The sequence below is a fragment of the Homo sapiens genome, chromosome 4 (assembly GCF_000001405.40).
Source record: "Homo sapiens chromosome 4, GRCh38.p14 Primary Assembly".
Classification (NCBI taxonomy): Eukaryota; Metazoa; Chordata; class Mammalia; order Primates; family Hominidae; genus Homo; species Homo sapiens.
Genome location: NC_000004.12, coordinates 40,250,580 through 40,259,142, shown reverse-complemented (window position 1 = coordinate 40,259,142; position 8,563 = coordinate 40,250,580). Strand labels below are relative to the sequence as shown.

At 44.5% G+C, this 8,563-nt stretch overlaps 2 annotated features.

The window, feature by feature from the left end:
* Nucleotides 333–1,111: an enhancer, noted in NCBI's record as "H3K27ac hESC enhancer chr4:40259652-40260430 (GRCh37/hg19 assembly coordinates)". NCBI's record gives its function as "activates a minimal SCP1, AML or CMV promoter by ChIP-STARR-seq in primed H9 embryonic stem cells {active_cell/tissue: H9 hESC(primed)}" and the evidence as "EXISTENCE:reporter gene assay evidence [ECO:0000049][PMID:30033119]".
* Nucleotides 7,364–8,563: an enhancer, noted in NCBI's record as "P300/CBP strongly-dependent group 1 enhancer chr4:40252200-40253399 (GRCh37/hg19 assembly coordinates)". NCBI's record gives its function as "activates an origin of replication core promoter dependent on BRD2, BRD4, P300/CBP, MED14 and CDK7 cofactors, with strong dependence on P300/CBP, by STARR-seq in HCT116 cells {active_cell/tissue: HCT116}" and the evidence as "EXISTENCE:reporter gene assay evidence [ECO:0000049][PMID:35650434]".

Sequence of the window (8,563 nt, the reverse complement as noted above, 5' to 3'; positions counted from 1 at the left end):
AGGATGGTCTTGATCTCTTGAACCCCTTGATCTGCCTGCCTCGGCCTCCCAAAGTGCTGTGATTACAGGCGTGAGCCACTGTGCCCAGCTGAGAGGTTCCATTCCTAAGAAAATGCCCTGGCAGAGAAAGGAACCCTGAGTCCCCTCTACACAAACTTTTAGCCAGTCAAACCTAACAACAGCCCCACCTCAGCTGACCAGTCTTTTTCTGGAGGAGAGGGAAGTTAGAGGTGTCCATTCAGGGTTCCCCATCTGAAGCTTCTTAGAGCCGTGCTGCAGCTTGAAGCCTCAGCACGTGTTCTCCCTACCCCACCCCCAAGCTTCAGAAAGAACCAGGGAGAATCAGAGACCTTAGCATCGAAGCAGAGCGAAATCCGAGGCTCGGTGTTGTGGCAGGATGGGGGTTTTCTTCCCCCCTTCCCCACTCCTTTCCTTCCTCCCCTCGGCCCCCTCCCCTTTCTTCCTGGGGGGAAGTCTGTTAAAATGGAGGAAAGTGACTAGGCGAGCCTAAAACACACAGCAGTTTCTTCTGACTGGTGTCAAGAGTATCAAGAGGGAGGCGTGTTGGTTTCCTAGCTGTTCTACTCTGGGTCATCCGCAAGGCTTGAGCCTCCTCCGGGGACAAAGGGAATCTGATACAGCACCTTCACCATGGAGGCCAACCTTGCAGGAAAGGCAGAGAAGGACGGCAGAAAAAGATGGAGGCCGGGGTGGGGATGCGAAGGAGCAGCAAAGACAGAGAGAGGAGAGCCGGCCGATGGTCGCCACACTCTGGAAGGAACGTGCAGGTGACTTGAAAGGAAGTTAAAGAAATCTCTGTGGCCAGGCGCGGTGGCTCATGCCTGTAATCCCAGCACTTTGGGAGGCCGAAGCAGGCAGAACACCTGAGGTTACGAGTTGGAGACCAGCCTGGCCAACATGGTAAAACCCTGTCTCTACCAAAAATACAAAAATTAGCTGGGCATGGTGGCAGACACCTGTAATCCCAGCTACTCAGGAGGCTAAGGTGGGAGGATTGCTTGAACCCGGGAGGCGGAGGTTGCAGTGAGCCAAGATCACACCACTGCATTCCAGCCTGGGCAACAGAGTAAGACTCAGAAAAAAAAAACAAAACTCTCTGGACTTTACATCTGTCATACTAAGATTTTTCTTTCCAGGATTGGGATGTTCCCTATAAGCCCTCCCAGTTTATGTAACCAAGGAGTTAGAATGTGCAACCCAATAGGTGGGCCCATTATTGGAAGGGTGGTAGTCAGGAGGCCAGGCTGGGGGCCAGGTTGCCGGGACTGAATCCTGACTCTACCACATGCCAGTGTCTTACCTTGAGTAAGTTTCCTCATCTGTAAAGGGTGGATGAAAATTCTACTTTTATCTTGGGTGCTTACAATAAGTAAATAAATTAATATATGTAAAGTACATAGTGCTGGATATATCTGAGGTTATTACTATGAGTCTAAGCAAGGCTATTTATATATGTGTATGTATATATCTATTTGTGTGTGTGTATATATATATATGCATGTGTGCATGCACACATACACACACACACACACCCCTTAGAAGCCCATGGATACAATTAACAAACATGGTTACAGGTTCCTTGGAAAAATCTAGGCTAACACACTGCCATTACACAGTGTAGGAGTATGTATATTCGTTAACATACTGATACTGAAAGCTGTTCACAATATAATAAATGAAAAAAGTAGATTGCAAATCAGATTGCACCATACGAACCTATTTTTGTAAAAATACACACATATGTGGATAAGAAAAAGTCTGGAATGGTAGAGACAAAAAAAGATGTAACAGTAGCTATTGAAGTGTTTTTTATTATCATTTTGTTTCATTGCTTCTAATCTTTTCACCAATGAATGTGCAATATCTGTGGGTTTTCTTAGGATAGACATAGAAAGACATCAATATAAAGAATCTCTTTCCGTTATGATTTCTTTCACTTGTGCCAACCAGGCTAGATTGCAGATTTTCCTGAGGAGCATTTGGGGAAAGGGGTGGGAGAGTATCTCTGGGGTGCCCCTGAACACACAAAGCCCCAGCCTGAGTTGTTCAGGACACACAGCTCTAGCAGTTGAGCTTATTGCTAATAAGCCAGGCAGTGCCTCTGGCTGGCTGGCGTGTCCTGTGTCTTCCTGTTCTCTACTCACTGGTTTCATGTGCTAGCCTTTGTCTCTGACATTTTCTTTCTTTTTTTTTTTCTTGAGATGGAGTCTCTCTCTGTCACCCAGGATGGAGTGCAGTGGTATGATCTTGGCTCGCTGCAACCTCTCCCTCCTGGGTTCAAGTGATTCTCCTCCCTCAGCCTCCCAAGTAGCTGGGACTACAGGTGCCTGCCACCACGCCCAGCTAACTTTTGTATTTTTAGTAGAGACGGGGTTTCACTATGTTGGCCAGGCTGGTCTGGAAATCCTGACCTCAGGTGATCTGCTCGCTTCAGCCTCCCAAAACGCTGGGATTACAGGCATGAGCCACCACACCCAGCAGCCTTTAAACTTCCATCACAGAAACCTGAAACGAATAGGCAGAGTCCAAAGCTCCATGTTAGAGGCTGGAAGTTCTGAGGCCTGCAGGAACAAGTGAGAGCCCTTGGGAGCCAAAGCCTGGCCCTCAAGTCCCGACTTGCCCAAAGCCATCTGTGTGTCTTGGGCAAAGAGGAGAGTCAGTTTCTTCATCTGTAAGATGATAGGATTGGGCTAAATCCTCCCTGAGGTCCCCTTCAACTCCAAAAAATGGGAGTCCAGTAAATAACAGAGAAGCCGGGGAAAATGTTCTGCCATGTTGATTTAGGTTTGAGCTCAATGAAAGGATCTACACTAACAAGAGATTAAAAAAAAATTGTATGGGTTTGCATGCAGTATCCAGAGAAGTAAGGTAAATACAGTTTGAGGCCTGGATTTATGGATTATTTCCTTCTTTCTGACTTTTCCATTTGTTAAACAGAGATAGCATCAATATCTGTTTACTCAATGAATGCCTAGCAGACAACCACACAGTAAGTGGGTTCAGTTAAAAAAATATGCTCTGACAATAAGGGTGAAAATAGTGACAGCCAAGGCTTGGATGGAAGACCTCACTTCTGGTCAGTGAGTGCATGTGTGTGGCCTGGATGAGCCATGTCACCCTCCTGGACCTCATCTCTTACACTAACACCTCACAGGGTCATCCAGAGCATCAGATGAAAGCATCATCGAATGGAAAAAAGGGAGTTTGGAGCAAGAGATCTAAGTACAAATCCTGATTCTGCCAAGCATTAGTTACATGGTCACAGATGAGTCATTTAGCATTCCTGAACCTTAGCTTCCTTGCCTGCAAAATGAGTCAAGTAATAATAACCCACAGCATTGCTGTGATGTCATAGGAGACAGTGTACACAAAGTACTTTATAACCTCTAGAGTGCTGACCAAATGCTGGCAATTGTTATAATAAGACAAGGAAAAGCACTTTGGAAAATTTTAAAGTACTAAATGAATTAATGTGTGGAGTTGATGACTGTGAGGATTGATTCACTTAAGAAATGTGGTTCAGCATTACTATGGGCACAGCACTGTTTGATGCTAGAGCAATCAAAGTTGGGTGAGAGAGGTACCCCCGGGCTGCAGACAGAAGCGATGAAGAGGAGGAAGAGAAAGGGGAGAGGGAGGAGATGTATTTGAGAAGTACACATGTGCAGTGATTTACCTAGGGCTGTCTGAAAACTTTTTAAAAAAATATCTTCAGTCCAACACCTCAGTAAGTCAATTCCCCAAGACAACAGATCTACGATGCAACAACTGCCCTTGGGTTAGCTCTGGTGACTCACTTGTAAATTGCACCCATATCTGTTTCAATTAGTGTAAAAGTTCTACAGACAGACTGTGCCGCCTTATTATGTTCTATTTAAACAAGGCTACAAAGGACGTTCAACTGCATCAATAGTTGGGCTCCAGCAAGCTGCAGCCTCGCTGCTTCTCAACCCTGTGCTGCCACAAGCACACATGCTCAGCCTGCAGATTCTTGGAATCTCTCCTCAGGGCCCTGCAGGCGAGGTCTTCACTCTGAGTCCTATGTAGGCCCTGAGTTCTAGTCATTTCCTTCCTTTTGTGCAGAATCCATTAGAAACCGCTTGCCTGTGTAACCCCCCAGCACCACCCTGGTTCTATGAATCATGCCAATTTTCTGTTCTGCTCTATTTGATAATCCATCCCCTCAAACTGCCCCAATTCAGTCATTCCCAGCAGGCAGACAGATGGATTAGAATCCCCAATGAAGGCAGTCACTGCTGGAGGGTGCTGTGCAATATTGAACACTCATCATGGTAAAAAGCATGTGTGTCCCTCGCAGGGCAATAGGGAAAAACCTAAGCCTGCTTTCTTTTACAAAGAGGTTGTTTGTGTTAAAACCAGATCACTGATGTGGTCTGTCAACATCATTCGGGCCTCTGCTCTATCAGGCCTCCCTATCCTACCAAAATGCTAAATATCCTCTCTCCCTTTTCCTAATTTATTTTCTTAATAGCACCGAACATCCATCTACATTGTTCATTGTTCTTTTTTTTTTTTTTGAGACAGAGTCTCTTTCTGTCGCCCAGGCTGGAGTGCAGTTGCATGATCTCGGCTCACTGAAACCTCCGCTTCCTGGATTCAAGCGATTCTCGTGCCTCAGCTTCCCAAGTGGCTGGGACTACAAGCGCCCACCACCATGCCTGGCTAATTTTTTGTATTTTAGTAGAGACAGGGTTTCACTGTGTTAGCCAGGATGGTCTCGATCTCCTGACCTCATGATCCACCCGCCTCGGCCTCCCAAAGTGCTGGGATTACAGGCGTGAGCCACTGCACCCAGCTACATTGATCTTATCTGTTTATTTTATAACTACTGTTCACACCCCTATCCCTAATTAAATCCTTAAACTCTATGAAAGCGGGAACTTTGGCTATTGCACAGCTTGACACTAAGGCCAAGGTGCAATGATAGAAACACAAGTAAATAATTAGGAAACAACACGGCAAGTCCAGCTATGGAGAGATGCTCTGTGAGTCACTGAGTCCTCCACTTTCTCTGAATAAACCCCGTAAAGAACCTAAAGAACTCAGTACATTCTGAGTAAATAAACAAGTGAATGGAGATGTCTTCACATACGATAAGGGACTGAGCCTCTGTTGATCCCTTCTGTGAGATATTGAAAGTTACCTATTTGTGCTAAGAAACAATACTAGAAAGAATTCAAGTACAGCAAACATGGGTTGAAAAGCAAGTGTATGAAAAGCGAACAAGTAAAAACCCCAGGTTCCTCTCTTCTTAGGAAGTTTACAGAAAAGAGCAGCAAAGAGTAGGACGAGTGAGGTGGTCTGGGTCTACCACCAATTTGTGGGCTTAGGCAGGTCAGGCAATGGTCTCAATACCTGTGTCTTCATCCATAAACAGTAGAATCCTGCCAGCTCTGAGGTGTATAACAGTAGAATGACATAGCTGCCATTTATTGTACTAGACATAGTGTAGCCTTTACCCACATTAGCTCCTTTAATGCTCACTATGTTATTTTCTCCATTTTACAGATGAGGAAACTGACACACAAAGAGGTTAGTTAACTTACACAAGGCTGTAGAGCCTAGTGAGTGGCAGAGCTGAGATTCAAGTTCAGACAGTTTTGCTTTAGAACCCAAACTTTAAATTTTTTTAATTAATTATATCATACACACAAAAGAATACATAAAATATATCTGGATATTTTGAAGAATAAATAATAGGAAAAAATCAATGAACACTCAAGTGCCTATGTCCCAAACTTAAAAATAGAACATTACCAATACCTGTGACACCCCGGGACCAGAAGAGGTAATCACTTACTTTAATGATTTCTGTGTTTAAAACAATTTTTTTTTTTTTGAGACGAAGTCTCGCTCTATCTCCAGGCTAGAGTGCACTGGCGCGATCTCAGCTCACTGCAACCTCCCCCTCCCTGGTTCAAGCAATTCTCCTGCCTCAGCCTCCTGAGTAGCTGGGACTACAGGCATGCGCCACCACGCCCAGCTGATTTTTGTATTTTTAGTAGAGACAGGGTTTCACCATGTTGGCCAGGATGGTCTCCATCTCTTGACCTCGTGATCCGCCTGCCTCAGCCTCCCAAAGTGCTGGGATTACAGGCGTGAGCCATCACACTTGGCAGAAAACCATTTTTAACCCTAACACTATTATGTTTTGCTTGCATTTGAACTTCATATAAGTGAAATCATACTCCATATATTATTTTACTACTTGCTTTTTTCTTTCAACATTGTCTATGCTCGTTCATATTGATATGTATAGCTAAAATGTATTCTTTTTTATTGCTGCATAATATTCCATGGGTGAATACACCATTTTTTAGCCATTCTCTGTTGATGCCATTGGGTCATTTCTAGTTTTTGCTATTATCTACAATGCTACTAATAACATTTTCGTATATGTCTCCCAGAAAATCTATGCCAACATATCTCTAGAGCATGAAATTTCTGGGTTAAGAGTATAGGATATTCAACACTACTAATGCCAAAATTTTATGCCAATTTACACTCCTGCAAGCAGCATCTGAGTTCCTATTGTTTCATTTCCTTATTAATGGTCAATAGTGTCATGCTTTTCTTTTCTTTTTCTTTTTTTTTTTTTTTTTTTTTGAGACAGAGTCTTGCTCTGTTGCCCAGGATGGAGTGCAATGATGTGATCTCAGCTCACTGCAATCTCTGCCTCCCAGGTTCAAGTGATTCTTCTGCCTCAGCCTCCCCAGTAGCTAGGACTACAGGCACATGCCACCATATCTGCTAATTTTTTTTTTTTTTTTTTTTTTTTTTTTTGAGACAGAGTCTTGCTCTGTAACCCAGGCTGGAGTGCAGTGGCTCAATCTCGGCTCACTGCAACCTCCACCTCCCAGGTTCAAGCTATTCTCCTGCCTCAGCCTCTCGAGTAGCTGGGATTACAGGCATGCGCCACCATGCCAGGCTAATTTTGTATTTTTAGTAGAGACGGGGTTTCACCATGTTGGGCAGGCTCAGCCTCCCAAAGTGCTGGGATTATAGGCATGAGCCACCATGCCCAGCCAATGTCATATTTTTGAATTCCCTTGCCAATATGGTGGTTTGAAAATGGTATTTTGTGGATAGGTTTTGTTTTCATTCCCCTGAGTTCAAGTGAGAAGAAGCACCTTTTCCAGTGCTTATTGGTCATGTGTATTTTTTCTTCTGGGAAATATCCGGTTTAAAACTGGGCTATTTTTCTTATTGATTTATAGTTGTTCTTTATATATTATGGATAATAGCAGAGCTTCTTGAATATAAATATATTGTTAGAAGATCCACAATTTTTGAATGTTGCTATCCCAGAACTATTCTTTTGTTCATTCAGATTAGAATTAACCAAACTCCTCCTTTCTCTTCCAAGCAAATAGATGTTAAGAGTGGTATTTCGTAGGTTTTGAGGCTCAGGAAAAGGCAGTTGCCCAGACCTGCAACTCATATCCTTCAGTAGGGATTTGAGTAATCATTTAATGACAGACTATGTAGATGACTAATGAGTGTATCACTCAGAGTCCTACAGGAAATGAAATTTATTCCAGGTGATTCAAATGAAGAGACTTGAATGAAAGCACTACTTAGGTCAGGATCAAAGGACCACATTAAGGATGCTGCTGCATCCAAAGACAAGGACCAGCAGGAAGCCATTACCCCCCATAGGGTTGAGGGCGAGGAGAGGAAGCACTGCCCTAGAGCCCAGTAGAAGCTGGAGCCATGTTGTTTTGTTTTGTTTTGTTTTGTTTTGTTTTGTTTTGTTTTTTGAAACAGAGTCTGGCTCTGTCGCCCAGGTTGGAGTGCACTGGCGCGATCTCCGCTCACTGCAAGCTCTGGCTTCCAGGTTCACGCCATTTTCCTGCCTCAGCCTCCCGAGTAGCTGGGACTACAGGCGCCTGCCACCGCGCCCGGCTAATTTTTTTTTTGTATTTTTAGTACAGGCGGGGTTTCACCGTGTTAGCCAGGATGGGCTCGATCTCCTGACTTCATGATCCACCCGCCTCGGCCTCCCAAATTGCTGGGATTACACGCGTGAGCCACCACGCCCGGCCGAAGCTGGAGCCATGGAAGAGAAACTTCCCAGTAGGAGCTGGAGCCACGGAGGGACTCATGACTATTGCCAAATAAGTAGCACCAAAGCCAGAAACGCATAGGGAAAAAACAGCCAACTGTTCTCCCCTGCTACCCTCTGATTTCCTGCCAGAGTGTCCACTGGCTGAATTCAAGTGGAAGCCAGGCAGGAAGAGATGCGGGTGATTCAGTCCACACGGTTAGTCTCCCAGGCCCAGAGGAGGGCAGGGAAAGGTGAAAGATGGAAATGGAAGAGTGGGGGCAGCAAGCAGAGAGCAGCCAGGACAGTGGGACGTGAATTACCTGAGATTTTATTATGGGAAGAATGACAAAAGGAAGCTCCCGTAGGAAGACTGCCAAGCTCTCATCATCACCATTTCCCTGCAGTATGTAACAAGGATCATTGTCACCATCTTAAATTAGCAAGTGTAATGAACACTTAATATAATTATAGATA